Source organism: Homo sapiens, chromosome 14 (genome assembly GCF_000001405.40).
Source record: "Homo sapiens chromosome 14, GRCh38.p14 Primary Assembly".
NCBI lineage: Eukaryota > Metazoa > Chordata > Mammalia > Primates > Hominidae > Homo > Homo sapiens.
The window spans coordinates 97250435-97267426 of NC_000014.9; the positions used below are offsets into that span (position 1 = coordinate 97250435).

Here is a 16992-nt window from a genome sequence, read left to right on the forward strand (position 1 = left end):
GTGGAGAATAAGCTGGCAGTAGAGAAGGTGGTGCTGAGAAAGTTGCTTTAATGAAGGTGTCTGCACCCTTCCCCCATTCCCCAGGTTCTATCTTAGTGCTTTGTCACTAAGTGACCCTGTGACTGCGCCTTCTGCAAAGTCCGCTCTCTGTGACTAGCTGGACAGAAATGCTGGAGTGCAGTTTCCAGGTTGGCTTCGTCCATTCATTCACTGAATGGGTTTAGTGACAGAATCCTCATAAGATACGTGTGTCTGGGATAGAATATGTGATCAACACACGTGAACTAGTGTCACCAGCATTATTATTTTTGTATTTACTACATCCTAGGCACTGGTTGGCTGCTTTGAATTCGCTGTCTTACTTAATCTTAAAGGCTATCCGGTTAGGAAGCCAATGTTACTATTTTTTCCCCCATTTTCCAGATGGTAAAATGAAGATTAGAGAGGTAAAATGAGAGCTGAAGGAAGTAGCTATAAGTGGCCAAAACAGGTCTAGAAGTGAGGTCTCTTGTGCTTTCTCTGCAGCCATAACTGCCTTCAGATCAGGGTCTAGCACACCGGGGAGAGTTCTGGATCCTTCCGGGGCTTTTGCCTGCAGAAAGCAGTGAACATGACAAACTTTCCTGTCTGCCATTTCCCCGGGCATAGCACTGTGACTAAAATGGGCCTGTCTAGCTTGGAAGTAATCATAGTGTAATTTGAGGACAACGCCACTTGGGGTGGCCTTCTGTATGGATGTATTACCTGGAGATGCTGGAAATGAGAAACAGTCTGTTTATAATAAAAATGAGCCTCATCCTCCATTTACTTTATCCATTTGAGCCTAAGTGGATCTAAAGATATTTTTGAAAGACTTACAAATACATATAATGTGCTCCGAAGAATTGCTTTATAAGAAAATAAAAGAAAGTCATTTACAGGTTAAGTAGGGGCAGACTCAACATATTTTTAAACCTCTAAACTTAAAGATGTTTAACATGGAATTCTAGTGGATCCTAGTTTGCTCAAATATGCCACAAAAACACTGGAACTGGATTTAATACAAAATTACTGTCAATACGTTTCCTCCCATGAAAATGACCCCTCTTTCCCAGTGCTGGGTAGTTTGAGATGAACCCCTAAGCCACAGGAGCACCTCTAAGAGCTGGTGTTTCCTGTTTTTTCAGGATATCCAGGTCTCCACTATCAAAAAATTGACCACTAAAACCACTTCCTTGACTCCACGCTCACTCCAACTATGACACAATTTTTTTTTTCTTTTCACGGCCAAGCCTCTAGAGTTTTCAATGTTTTGTTTTTCCATTTACTCCTCACTCTATTGCAGTCTGGCTTCCTCTGGTTGTATTGCTTTAAAGCCACCACTTTTTAGTAACCAGGTCCAGAACGAGCGATTGGTAGGAGATGGCCAATGAAGTGGCAGTTTTGCCCCCAGTCTCCAAATAGGACCCACAGAAACCACTGCTACTTGATGATAGAATCCTTTTCAGAATCTTTTTGAAGATCGTCTCCCTCCAGTGGTCAGAGCTGGCTGAGGACGGTGACACCTGTTCACCAGCCTGGGTTCTGCTGGAGCCATCCCTCAGGCAGAAAGCAGAGAGGCGGTGCTATAAGTGAAGGGACCACAGAGAGAGGTGGGCTCCCATGTTGGCCCACACTTAGTAGAAAATGGGTTTGGGCAGGTTTTCTCTGGGCCTTCGTTTTCTTCAAAAGGGAAGAGCAACAGATTTGACAACTCAATAAGCAGTTAACTATTTTTATCAGCACAGAAAACCACAGTAAAATGCAACCATTGTCAGTAAGCAGCTGGGTAATAGCACTTCTTGCACGTCTTGTCCTGGTTTTATTCTCTTCTGCTCATGGAACTTGGTGGACATAGTAGGCCCTGCCAAGCTGACCTATGCCAGTCCAATGCACAGAGCATTGACTTACAAAGCAGGATGCCAGCTTATTAGCTTTCAGTTATGATTCTAATTATGTGGTGAAATTTATTTGTGCATTTGCTATACAAGGTGCCCTCTCTTTGCCAGACACCAAATTACTGTATACAACAGGGGATAGACTTGGCGGGGAAACTCAGCATCTCCTGTACTCTACAGAGGGCATTTAGTTCCAGGTGCTCACCTCAACTCAGGAATCCAAATTAGACAGCATAAGTGAGTTTCTGAGGGACAGTCTCATCTCACCATTGATTGAACCCCCAAAGAAAGGTTTGGTGGCTCCTTTCCAGCTCTTTCTGCCTTGAAAATGTTATGAATCACAGTGAATTATTTATCTCAAGCAGTTTTCTCAAGATATCTTTGCATTTAGACAATGTCAGGCAATTTGCAAGGTGTTTTCACGTACATGCATTATAGATAGGCAGGACTGAGATTTGTATATATCATTCATTCACTCAATAAAACAGTTATTGAAAGCCTGGACATTTCAGGACTTGCCCAAAACCACTAAGTATTCTGGTTATCCATTGCTGCATGCCAAACCCAACATTCATGGTGAGTGTGAGTTTGCAGTTTGGTCAGGACTTGGTCAAGAAGAGATCTCTCTGCTTCATAATGTTGAGGCTTCAGCTGGAAACAGTTGTCAAACAGTGGGGAGGTGGAATTCTCTGCAGGTTTCTTCACTTACAGGTCTGGGGCCAGGGCTGGGGTGACTTGAAGCCTGGGCTTGGCTGGGATTGTTTGTCTGAGCACCTCCATTCACCAGCCTCCCAATATAGCTTGGGCTTCCTCACAGCATGGTGGTCTTGAAGCAGTCAGACTTATTACATAGAAGCCCAGTGTTTAAAAAGTGAGTATTCCAGTGAACAAGGCAGAAGTGAAATGGCTTTTTTGAGGTCCAGCTTCTGAAGTCGCATAGTATCATTTCCACTATTCTAACCTCTATTGGTGGAAACAGATACAAACCCATTCAGACTCAAGTGTTGGAGACATAGACCCCACCATAGGAAAGCAGTGATAAAGAATTCATGGCATGTTTTAAAAGTACTACATCAAGTGTCAGGACAAGACCCAGCTTAATTACTCCAAATCCAGGTTTGTACGAGTTAGGTTAGTGGGAGTTATGGTGGAATGCTACAGGATTTAGCCATGGGTAGAATTTGTTTCAAACCCTAGATCTTTTACCTATTAGGTGTGTGATCACAGACAAATATCTTTCCTCTCTGAGTTTCAGTTTCCTAATCTATAAGATGAGGAAACGACAATTCTAATTTTAGTCCATTTTGTGACAATTCAATTAAATGAGGCTTGTCAAAAGCTAACATCGTGTTTGGCACAGAGTAGGTGCTTAATAATTAGGAACTGTTAAAAAACACGATTTAAAAATACCCATTTAACAGCAATGTAACAAATGTTATTATTATTCTTATCATTGTTACTGTTATGAATCACCTATGACATAATAAACTCAAGCAATATTTCTTTTTTCTTTCTTTCTCCATGGTTCTAGCTCCTGATGTGACTTTCACTTCTGAGCCTAAAATCTCCACCTCCTCCTTGTGTCTCTGTAGTCCTGGGGAGGAGAGGAGAGTTGGTTTCCTTTTTTGCTAACCTCTGGTTACTTTACTTCCTCTATTTGATCTCTTGGCTTCGTCTATCATCCTTACAACTAATTCACTGTCACACCGTGGTTCTGCTTCAACTATCTAGAAGATCTGTTTTCCTGAGGGAATCCTGACTGATACAATATTCCAAATGCGTAGAGGCTCTGCTGGGGAGGACTAAGAGGAGTGGGGCGGTGGATTTGGATAAGAACACCAGGCATCTGCCTCCCTTCCTCCTTCTGTGTCTCCTTCACTTTTTTCTTTTGTGTCCGCCCTCCTTTCTTATCTTGTATTTTTCATTTTTTCTTTTATAAAGATGGAACATCATATAACAATCTTCTGCAACTTGCTGTTTTCACAATAACTCTTCAAGCCAATGCACATAACTCTAATTCATACAGTTCTAATTCATTTAAAGAGAGTGCCATGATAATCCACATTATGCACACCCCTTAATACATCTATCCATTTTTTGTATGGATATTCTGTAGTTTATAGAATTTGGGGGTGAGGTTTGCTACAATAAGCAGTTCTTAATTAGCCATACAATTTTTATGCACAAATGTCTTTACATATTTCTTTCTTCATTTCTGTAGTATGGGTTTCCAAAGGTAGAATGACTGGATCAAATAGTATGTACATTTTTTAATTTAAAAAATATCACCAGATTACTTTCTCCAAAAGCTGTATCATTTACCCTCTCTTTAGCAATTAATTTCCATGAGTTATTCATTATGGAAAGACCTCTGCTCATATGTTTGTAATAAGCAATACCAGGCTTGGTACTCGGTGTGGGCTATTCAGTGAAGCAAGGATTTGGAGAATGGAGAAGAAGAAAATAAAAGTGATGCCCAAAATTGCTGACTGAAACGTATTTTATTATTTGTGGGTTTGTTCTCCCTACCCCACCCTACCCCTGCATTCTATAAAAAGTCAACCTTAAATAAAGGCCTTCTCTCTCCAGATTTTCCATCCTCTAATCTGTGAGTCCATGTAGGTGTCCTTGATATATTTCATAATAAGGCACTTGAGAGGCTAATTGCATTGTATTTACAGCCTATAGAGGTGGCCCCCACTTCAAATGACGAGTTTCCTTGGTAATGTACTAATAACCACAGGTTCCAAGGGCTAAACTGAGACTAATGCAGAAAAATTCAAAGCTTGGCTTGCAGGGGACCCCATAAAGGCACCGAATGGAACAGACAGTCCACATGAGAGAGACAAGGGGAGGCCATGGTGAGGGAGTGGGTTTCATTTCATTTTTTGTGCTTTCCTAGTTTTCTACAAACCTTTAAAACCTGTACCAAAGGTAAGCTTTGTGTTGACCATTTTGAATTCCTATTGTTCCAAAATCCAAATGTGTTATACAGTGTGCTATAACTGCTCCCAATTTCTGCTTTAACCACATCTTACTGCCCTGTGTTATATTGTTATATTGATACTGGCTTCTAACCTTGGCAGTCCTTGTAAGATTTCCTCTCCCCTTCAGGATGGATGAAGTAGCTGGCGTGTCTTTCTCTCTCTCTCTCTCTTTCTCTCTCTCTCTCTTTCTCTGTATATCCCCATTAAATTTCCAAGTTAACACTGACTAGTTGACAATTACTGCGAATCTTTATTATTTAAACACATATATAATTAATTTGAAATAATAATTGTTTTAACAAATACTAATAGGAATATTTTGGAACACTTATGTTCTAAGCTGTAAGCACTAAGACGCCATATATTTGTACTATGTCATACATAATAATTCCATAAGTGGGAATAATTATCAATTTGATAGATGATGGTATTGAAGCTTAGAGAGGCTTAGTGACTTACCCAAAGACAGTAAGTGGCAGACGTGCTATATTAGTCTGTTCTCATGCTGCTAATCAAGACTTGAGACTGGGTAATTTACAAAGAAAAAGAGGTTTAATGGACTTAGAGTTCCATGTGGCTGGGGAGGTCTCACAATCATGGTGGAAGGCAAAAAGCATGTCTTACATGGTGGCAGGCAAGAGAGAATGAGAGCCAAGCTAAAGGGGAAACTCCTTATAATAAAACCATCAGATCTCATTAGACTTATTCATTACCATGAGAACATATGGGGGAAACTGACCCCATGATTCCCTCTGGGTCCCTCCCACAACACATGGGAATTATGGGAGCTACAATTCAAGATGAGATTTTGCTGGGGACACAGCCAAACCATATCACGTTGCATTTACATGCAAATCTCATTTGGCTTTGACATCCACACTGTAACACTGTCCTACCTCCTGCCAGTGTGCCTCACACCAAGTAGCAGGAGCTTATCTTCATTTTTAGGGCCACGAACCATTTCTGCCACTTAACTTAGTGCTTCTTCATTCTCATTCTCATTAGATGTGATGAACACTCGCTGCTTGGTAGCTGCCTTCATGTACCTGGTTACCTACTGTGTTATATGGTTCCTAGGAGACAGAAAACTCAGCTTATACATTTGGGTCCTTATAGTTCCTGGCCCAGTGCTGGGGGGCATGGTACAAACTCAACCCTGGTTATTTCTCTTCACCATAAGCATTTTGAGAGCATGGGACGTCCTACCACTTCCCTAAGTTTCTCTCCTGCTCTGTCCAAGGCAGAGCCGTACCTTTATCATAACTAATTCATTCTCTTTAGCACTGAATAGTTTATAGAATATGCCCTCACACATTCAGTCCTCTTCCTTTTTATTTATCCTGTTTTATAGGCAAGGAAACTGAGGTTTTGAGAGACTTACACTCATTTCAATGAAGGACCCTGTGCTGCACAAAAAGTTATATCTATATGACAGGGCTTCTCAACCAGGGGTGACTTTGTCCTCCCCCCACCCTTCCCAAGGACATTTGGCAATATTTGGAGATATTTGGCTGTCACTGTTGAGAAACTGTACTGTAGCCAGGGATGCCACTTAACATCCTACAAAGCACATTACAGCCCCCATGACAAAGAATACTCAGGACCAAATGTCAATAGTGTTGAGCTTGAGACATTCTGCTACAGAATAAAAAAGAAGACATTTTATTTGATCATATTTTCTACTTTTGGATATCTTATGAGATGCAATTTTTATGTAATACTCACAGTTGAATGTTCTTTCTCTCCTAAGATCTAAGCCCACAAAGCACTAAAATAACTTTTGATTATGTATGGGGGTATAAGGAACAACACATGCTATAATTCTGAAAGCAAAGTAAGTGAGCTTTAATCTTCATTTGAGTTTTTTTAAGACTATATATATATATATATATATATATATATATATATATATATATTACTGTCTTTCTTATTTAGAGAGTCCAAGGGCACTTGCTGGTGTTCTGGGAGAGTATTACTAAGACATGGGTCTTGCAGCCCAAATCAAGAGCTTAAAAGTTTGTTTCAAATGATATGGTTCCATATTCTAATCCAGGCAGTTTGGATCAGACCTTTGTTTATTAAGAGTTCTTGGGCCTATACCTACAACCAAATAAAGATCCCAAATGAACATCTTAAGTTTTTTTTCTTTTGGAAAGGTGGCATATTGATGGGTAAAATTAGATGATGTCTGGGATTTGTTTTAAAATACTCCAGCAAAAACAAAGATGAGGAATACTAAATGAAACAAGATCAGCAAAATGTTGGTAATTGTAAAAGCTGGAAGATAGTTACATAGACATTCATTTTACTATTCTTTCTACTTTTTTGTGCATTTGAAAATATCCAGAATAAAGTGTTTAAAAAAATATATCCTACGGCCATCTGCAGGATGACAAGTAATGCATTTGCAAGTACAGTAGATAGAACTTTTTTTCTTGCTCCATTTCTGTGGATGCAAAAGCAATTTCTTTAGCAAACTTTTTTGCATGTGTCGAGAACATTGTTTAATTCGGCATACTGTTTTTCATCTCAGTATTTTAGAGAACTTTGAAAATTAAAAGTGACCACAATATGGGCAAAAGATTTAAAAAGACACTTCACAAAGGAAGTTCTATGAATGGCCAACAAGAACATGAAAAAGCTCTCCACATCATTAGTCATTAGGAAAATGCAATTAAGACCACAATGAGATATTGTGACACACTGACTTGAATGCTTCAATTAAAAAGACTGATAACTACCAAATGTCATCAAGGATGAGGACCAACTACAGTTCTCTTGTATTTTTGGCGAGAAGGTAAAATGATATCATCATTTTTTTTTGAGAAAAAAGTCTGATAGTTTCTTATAAAACTAAATGTCTGCTTTCTTTATGACCCAACCATTCTACTCCTAGGTATTTACTCAAAAGGAATGAAAACATATGTCCACAGACACATACAAAAAACCTGCAAAAGAAGAGCTGTTCATAGAAGCTTTATTCACGATAGTTTCCAACCAGAAACACCCCAGGTGGCCATCCACAAAAAAAATGAATAAAGAAACTGTGGTAGATTTATGCAATAGAAAATTACTCAGTAATTAAAAAAAATAAGCTATTGAAACAAAACCATGGATGAATCTAAAAAAATGTGATGTTGAGTGAAAGAAGTATAATTTTTCACTGTATAGTTCATTTATGTGAATTTGTAGAATAGGAAATACTAATCTACGATGGACAGTGACTTCTCTGAGGAATTAGGGGAGGGTTCAACTCAGATGGGCACAAGGGAACTCTGGGGAGATGGTGATATTCTATAACTTCATAGAAGTTTGAGTTTCACAGGTAAAGACATTTGTCAACATTTTACAAATGATATACTTAAGACGTATGTATGTCAAATGATCACTTTCAGCAAAAATAATGAGGACCAGATTTACCCTCCCACTTGAAACAAGCAATAAATGGATGAAATATATAAAAGCAAGCAACAGGTTGGCTGGGCATGGTGGCTAATGCCTGTAACCCCAGCTTTTAGGGAGGCAGAGGCAAGAGGGCAGTTTGAGCCCAGGAGCTCGAGACCTGCCTGGACAATATAGCAGAACCCCGTTAAAAATAAATAAATGAAAGCAATAGGTTACCAGACACTAGACATAAGGAATGAAGGACAATGCTAGGCTGGAAACCATGAAGAGAGCCCTGTGACTCCCTCATTTTATTGCATTAGGAGAGTTTCCTGGCTACAGTGCAGGGAGCAGGTGCCCAGGCCAAGTTTGGCAAAACCTTGAGCTAAGGAGATATAGTTGAGGGTCTAGGGAGACAAAGAGGACTACAATATCTGCTTTCTTTATGACCCAATTTCTGTATGACTACAAGTTTCGGAGCAGAGTACTGGAGCGAAGAAAGACACATAGTAGGAAAACTATAAAGATCAGCAGAAAGTTTCTCCCAAGTATTTAACTGAATAATTATTAGTACATATGTGTGATGCAGTTCCTAGAAGCCAGAAAACACACCACTTGATTGGATTAGAGATGAGAGTGTTTGGTACTTGTACAGCACTTAAAATAATACATGCTTCTACTATCCAGACCAAAAAAACCCTCATAATTTAACTCATAATTTACCGAATGCTGAGTAGAATACACAGAAGAGGTCTTGCCTTTGTAGTGAAGAACAGCACTGACCCCTCTTCTGATTTCACATTGCACATCTCTTTTTTCTTGAGACATAGTCTCACTTTGTCACCCATGCTGGAGTGCAGTGGCGCAATCTTGGCTCACTGCAACCTCTGTCTCCCGGTTCAAGCGATTCTCCTACTGGGATTCCAGGCACACACTATCACACCTGGCTATTTTTTTTTTTTTTTTTTCAGTAGAGACGGGGTTTCGCCATGTTGGCCAAGCTGGTCTTGAACTCCAGACCTCAGGTGATTCATCCCCACCTCAGGCTCCCAAAGTGCTGGGATTACAAGCATGAGCCCCCGTTCCTGGCTCACATTGCAAATCTTAAAAGCAGCATAGCAAAGGTTCAAACTGTACTGAAGTAACTCAACTGCATCCAGGACAAAGCTCAAGAATATAGGAATACCAAAATATTCCTGTATCAAAATGTCCATCAATGATAGACTGGATTAAGAAAATGTGACACATATACACCATGGAATACTATGCAGCCATAAAAAATGATGAGTTCATGTCCTTTTTAGGGACATGGATGAAGCTGGAAACCATCATTCTCAGCAAACTATCGCAAGGACAAAAAACCAACCACTGCATGTTCTCACTCATAAGTGGGAGTTGAACAATGAGAACACTTGGACACAGGGTGGGGAACATCACACACCAGGGCCTGTTGTGGGGTGGGGGAGGGGGGAGGGATAGCATTAGGAGATATACCTAATGTAAATGACGAGTTAATGGGTGCAGCACACCAACATGGCACATGTATACACATGTAACAAACCTGCACATTATGCACATGTACCCTAGAGCTTAAAGTATAATAAAATATATATATATTAAAAAAAGGTAAAATTCACCATACCTGGTATCCAGTCAAAGATTATCAGACATGTAAAAAAGCAGGAAAATACCATCAATAATGAGAAGAAAAGTCAATCAATGGAACTTGACTAAGAATTGGCACAGATAGAAGTAGCAGAAAGAGCATTAAACAAATTACTGTAACTGAGTTTCGCATGGCCAAAGGGTCTGGTAGAGACATGGAAGTATGAAAGACCCAAACTGAACTTCTAGAGATGAAAGATAAAAACTACAATGTATGTAATAAAAAATATACTGGCTAAGATGAGTGAACTTGAAGTCATACCAATAAAAGCTATCCAAAGTGAAACACAAAAAGAAAAAAAGAATTTAAAAAAAAAACAGAGCATCAGTGAACTGTGGAACAACTTCAAGAAGCCTATCATATGGATAATTTAAATGCCCAAAGAGGAGAAGAGCGAGGTGGGAATACGTTGCAGTCCGGATCCACACAAAGAAATGAACAGCATGAGAAATTGTGAATGTTTACATATTTAGGTAGGCTAATATATGTTTTACTTATTATTTAAATCTCTTTAATAAGATAATTGAGCACTTAGATAAAATAATAACAATGTGGTGTTGTATTGATGACATATATGAAAAGAAAATACACAAATGCCAAAGTAAAATGTAAAAATCAAAGATTTACGGCTGATAGACTAACAGCCTAAATAGACTGAACAGAATTTTTAAAAGTTAAATTAATTCAAAAGAATGCAGAAAGAGAAGAAAACATAACAAAGAAAGGTAAATGAAAAATAAATAACAGGCCGGGCGCGGTGGCTCACGCCTGTAATCCCAGCACTTTGGGAGGCCGAGGCGGGCGGATCACGAGGTCAGGAGATCGAGACCATCCTGGCTAACACGGTGAAACCCCGTCTCTACTAAAAATACAAAAAATTAGCCGGGCGTGGTAGCGGGCGCCTGTAGTCCCAGCTACTCGGGAGGCTGAGGCAGGAGAATGGCGTGAACCCGGGAGGCGGAGCTTACAGTGAGCCGAGATCGCGCCACTGCACTCCAGCCTGGGCGACAGAGCGAGACTCCGTCTCAAAAAAAAAAAAAAAAAAAAAAAAAAAAAAAAAAAAAAGAAAAATAAATAACAATATTATCAGTTAAAATCCAACCATATCAAATAATCACACTGATGGTCTAAATGGAAATGGTCTAGAAATCTCATTTGGAAAACTCATTAAGATACACTTACTCTCAAGCTGACATACAGATTTATCAAAATCAAAATTCTAACAGGCTTATTTTTGGAAATTGATAATCTGATTTCAAAATTCATATGAAAATAGAAATTACCTAGAATAGCTAAAACAACATTCAAAAAGAAGATTAAAGGTGATTGGATAACACCGTCTAATCTCAAGACTTAGTATAAAGCTACCTATTTTATAAAGCTATAAAGGAATTATGATAGATCAGTAGAACATAGCATAGAGCCCAGAAAGTTTGATGTTAGAACAATTGGCTATCCATACACACACACACATACAAAACTCTAATCTTCAATTTGTACCTTGTACCATAACAAAAATTAACTCAAATTGTATTACATAGCTAAACATAAAACATAAAGTTTACAAAACTTCTAGAAGAAAACATTTATGACCTTGGATTAGGCAAAGATTTCTTTATAGACTCACAAAGGCATGATGTGATGTGTGTAAGAACAAATTGGTAAATTAATCAAAATCCAAACCTATGCTCCTTTAAAAAACACTATTGAAAACATGAAAAGACAAGTGACAGTCTGGGAGAAACTATGTTTAAATCATCTTATAAAGGATTTGCACTCAGAATGTACAAAGAACTCTCAAAAGTCAACAATAAGAAAGCAAACAACCCAATAAAATAATTAACAACAGATCGGAACAGATGCTTCCCCAAAGAAGATAAACAAATGGTACATAAATACATAGAAAGATACTGGCCATCATTAGTCATTAGGGAAATACAAACTAAAACCTTAGTGAGATATCACAACACACCTACTCAAATAGTTAAATTTAAAAGATGGATAGCAATTAAAGGGTATCAAGGATGTAGAACAACCAGAACTCTCGTACACTTCTGGCGGGAATATAGAATGGTACAACCACTTAGGAAAACAGTTGGCAGTTTCTTAAAAAGCTAAACAGTCACCTATTGTATGATTCAGGCATTCCACTCCTGGGTATTTCCCAAGAGAAAGGACGGCAGCACATGCTCGTATGAAGACTGACACATGAATGTTCACAGCAGCTTTACATGTAATAACCCCAAACTGGAAGTAACCCAAATGTCTATCAACAAGTGAAAAACTGTGCCTTATAGGTACAATAGAATACTCTCCAGCAATAAAAATAAATAAGCTATTGATCAACTATTTGGATGAATTTCAAAATAATTATACTGAGTAAAACAAAAACCATATAAAATAAGAATATAGACCACATGATTTCATGTATATAATACTCTAGAAAATAAAAACTACTCTCTACTGACAAAAAGCACATCCATGGTTCCTTGTGGAGGTGGGAAGAGTTACAAATGGGCATGAGGAATCCTTTGGGGGTGAGGGATTTGTTCATTGTCTTGATTGTGGTAAATAGTCTCATGAGTGTGTACACTGTATATATCAGCACTCAACAACGTGTATATTAATTATACTCTAATAGAGTTATTTAAAACTTTTTAAAAGTTTGTTCATTACATTTTATGTAGATTTCACCTAATAAAAGAACCAAAAATAAATATAGTCATGCAACGCATAATGATGTTTTGGTCAACAATAGGCTTCATATACTACGGTGGCCCCATAAGATTATAATAGAGCTGAAAAATTCCTATCACCTAGTGATGTTGTAGCCACGGTAATGTCACAGTGCAATGCGTTACTCACATGTTTGTGGTGTTGTTCTTGTAAGCAAACCTACTTTGCTACCACTTGTATAAAAGAATAGCACATATAATTCTGTACAGTAGATAATAATAATAATCAACTATGTTATGGTTTAAGTATTTACTATAGTATACTTTCTATCATTATTTTAGAGTTTGCTCTTATTTATTAAAAAAATAAGTTAACTGTAAAACAGCCTCAGGCAGGTCCTGCAGGAGGTATACAGAAGACGGCATTTTTTTTTTTTTTTCTGAGATGGAGTCTCGCTCTGTTGTCAGGCTGGAGTGCAGTGGTGCAATCTCGGCTCACTGCAACCTCCGCCTCCCAGGTTCAAACAATTCTCCTTCCTCAGCCTCCAGAGCAGCTGGGGCTACAAGCACAAACCACCATGCCCGGCTAATTTTTATATTTTTAGTAGAGATGGGGTTTCACCATGTTGGCCAGGCTGGTCTCGAACTCTCGACCTCAGTTGATCCACCTGCCTTGGCCTCCGCAAGTGCTGGGATTACAGGCATGAGTCCCTGTACCTGGCCCAGAAGAAGGGATTTTTATGGTGGGAGACAACAGCTCCGTGTGTTATTGCCCCTGAAGACCTTCCAGGGAGACAAGATACGGAGGTGGAAGATAGTGATGTTGATGATCCTGACTCTGTGTACACCTAGGGTACGGTGTGTGCTTCTCTTAGTTTTTAACAAAAAAGTTTAAAAGTAAAAAAAAAAAAAAATAGAAAAATGCTTATAGAGGAAGGATACAAAAATAAAAATATTTTTGTTGTGTTGTAAGCTAAGTGTTATTACAAAAAAGTCAAAAAGTTAAAAAAATTGTTTATAAAGTTACAATAAGCTAAGGTTTGTTTATGATTGACAAAAGATATTCATATATGAATTCAGAATAGCCTAAGTGTTCAGTGTTTATGATCTACAGTAGTGCACGGTAATGTCTTCGGCCTTCCCATTCACTCACCACTCACTCACAGACTCACCCAGAGCAATGCCCAGTCCTGTAAACTCCATTCATGCTAAGTGCCCTAGACAGGTGGACCATTACCATTTTTTATCTTTTACACCATATTTTTTTTACCATACTTTTTCTATTTTTTTTTTTGGTTGTTGTTTTTTTGAGATAGAGTCTCACTCTGTCACCCATGCTGGAGTGCAGTGGCGCAATCTTGGCTCACTGCAACCTCCATCTCCTGGGTTCAAGTGATTCTCCTGCCTCAGCCTCCCAAGTAACTGGGACTACAGGTATGTGCCATGCCCCCTGGCTAACTTTTTTTTTTTTAGTAGAGACAGGGTTTCACTATATTGGCCAGGCTGGTCTTGAACTCCTGACCTCAGGCAATCTGCCTACCTCGGACTCCCAAAGTGCTGGGATTACAGGCGTGAGTGCTGCCTATTGTGTTACAATTGCCTACAGTATTCAGTACAGTAACATGCTGTACAAGCTTGGAGCCTAAGAGCAATGGGCTGTACCATGTAGCCTAGGTGTGTAGTAGACTGTGCCATCTAGGTTTGTGTAAGTACAATCTGTGATGTACACACAATGATGAAATCCCCTAACAATGCATTTATTAGAACGTATTTCTGTCCTTAAGCGGCGCATGACAGTATTGATCTTTCGTCAACGATAAGCATATTGCATTGTTTAGGAATGAAGTGTACTGATGTCTCCAACTTAATATGAAATGCCAGGATGAAGAAGAAAATGAATTGCTGGAAGGATAAAGGGCTGAATAGATAGATAAATATGTAATGACACATTGTTTGTTCCTCCTCACATCAATTTATTTCTTTGCCATGTCTACCACAGAGAGTGCTGGCAGATGGTACCACTCTACTTTTTTAGCCCAGTAAGCCCACTTCCTTGTTAGAAGGTTTTCTACATAACCTTTGACTCTTCTTCAAGACTTGGAGCCCTGCCACGCCTTCCTGTGGTTCCCTTTAATTAGCATTTTATCCACAACAGTGCTAGAAAAGTTTCTCTCTAATTTATTGACCAGGACACACGTATAACTTTTTTATCGCTCACTAAAGAAATCCCAGCTGTTTATTCTCCGAATGCCATAGCCACAGTGAGCACTCGTTTCATTATTCCACGTGTGAACTATATGGAAAAGGGCTCATCGCGGCTATTTATTCTATACTCTGAATCTCAATGGGGTTCTGTTTGGATGTTGCATTAGTTGCTTGCTCAGGCTGTCATAACATGATACAGCAGACTGTGTGGCTTAAACAAAAGACATTTATTTGATCAGTTCTGGAGGCTGGAAGGTTAAGATCAAGGTGCCAGTGCGGTGAGGGTTGGGGGAGGGGGGTTTCATCTGAGACCTCTCTCCCTGGCTTGTAGATGGCTGTCTTCTTGGAGGCTCTTGGCGTGGTTTTCCCTCTGTGCATGTGTGCCCCTGGTGTCTCTCTGTGTTTAAGTTTACTCTTGCTATTAGGAAGATTGGATGAGGGCCCACCCTAAGGACCTTATGCTGACTCAATCATTTCTTTAAAGAGCCTGTCTCCAGATGCAGTCCAATTTGGAGGTATTGGGAGTTAGGGCATTTCAGCCCCTAACAGATGTACCGTAAAAAATGCAGCATGCATGTTGTACCTGCACCTTGCTCTGTAAGCCTTTCCTTGGTTATCAGCAGTGCAGTAGATATATACCCAAGTGACCTTTTCTACAGGGGTGGGTTCTTCCCAACTGTCTCTATCTAGCTCCAGCTCCAGTCCAAACCACCATCATTTGGCATCTGGAATTTTCCAACAGCCTTAAAGCCAAGTCCCCATTTGTTCTTCATTCAGCAGGTTGAGAAGCTTTGAAACACGCAGGTGTGGTCGTGTCCACACAGTCGCAGTCCGCTCCACTTCAGCCCTGCAGTGGCAACCAGGATCAAGTCCACATTCTAACTTGGCTTTATAGCATCCTTTCTCAGCTGTTCAACTTCTCTTGATAGCTTAGCTCCTTGGTTATCTGCGCCCCAGCCACAGCAGCTTCCCATCTTTTCCTTGATGTCCCAAGCCTCTTCTTTCCCTAGGATCTTCACACATGTTATGTATTTCTCTTGGCTGAACTCTCCTACTCCTACCCACTACCTCTTCTATTCAGCATAAGGGTCACTTGCTTTGGGGGACAGTCCCGTGACCACTCCAACTCTCTCCACAAACTAGGGTAGGACTCCCGGGTATATACTTTCTTTATGCTGCTCTTCAGGGCTGTTACTAATAATAATATGAACAGCAACACTGTTACTATTAATAGTAATAGTATATTATTAATTTACTATTAATAGTAATAGTATATTATTAATATACTATTAATAGTAATAATTCTACTGTTATGTGTTTCAGTGCCTGCCCCTCTCCTACACTGCAGACTCCTTAAAAACAGGGAAAATGTTCAACTTATTCCTCGTTGTAGCCCAACCACTAGCCAATGCATCACACATACTAAGTTATCAATACATATTTGTTGAATGAACTAATGAAGCCACAGAAACCTTTAAATCAACTGACCCTTAGCTGTTTGCCACAGTTTACAGATTATTCATTCTACTCACCCTTTGATCATTTTATTCCCAACTGGAGGTTTCATCAGTCGGATGACAGGCAATGAGGAGAGAGACCAATGAGTCATTTTCTAAGCAGCTGTAGTTAAGGTCAAAGGAGGGGGAGGGGGAGGAGGGAGTGGGCAAAGAACAAGGTTAACCATTGAGCTGCTGTGCATTGATTACCTTTGATTGATACTCCTCAGTTATGCTGCCCCATTCATTAGCATGAGGAGGTGAAGGTTGGATGTAATTTTAAACAACAGTTTGAGGCATTTCTATTCTGGTTCTGAAACAGCTTAAATATTTTATGAGTTTTTAAGATTGGGAGAAATTAAAGCAAGTATGTAATCTTGCTCTGTGTGTGTATAAATATATACACATATGAAATTTAAATATACTCACACAAAATCTTATTGTAGAGAATCTCATAAATCTAAAAAAGATAGGGAGTCTAAAAAAAACCTACCCATATGTAAACATAATATGAAAATATATTCAGTGTTAATTTCAGAATTTATTGCAATCTGCAGAACATCTTTAACAATTGCACATACACCCTCCCAAGAGCAAGAGGGAATTTTTTTTAAAAATGAAATATTTTGCATAAAATATTTTGATATTTAAAAAAACCAAAAC

At 39.1% G+C, this 16992-nt stretch overlaps 1 annotated feature.

Moving 5' to 3' along the window:
* Positions 15508 to 16707: an enhancer, noted in NCBI's record as "P300/CBP strongly-dependent group 1 enhancer chr14:97732279-97733478 (GRCh37/hg19 assembly coordinates)". NCBI's record gives its function as "activates an origin of replication core promoter dependent on BRD2, BRD4, P300/CBP, MED14 and CDK7 cofactors, with strong dependence on P300/CBP, by STARR-seq in HCT116 cells {active_cell/tissue: HCT116}" and the evidence as "EXISTENCE:reporter gene assay evidence [ECO:0000049][PMID:35650434]".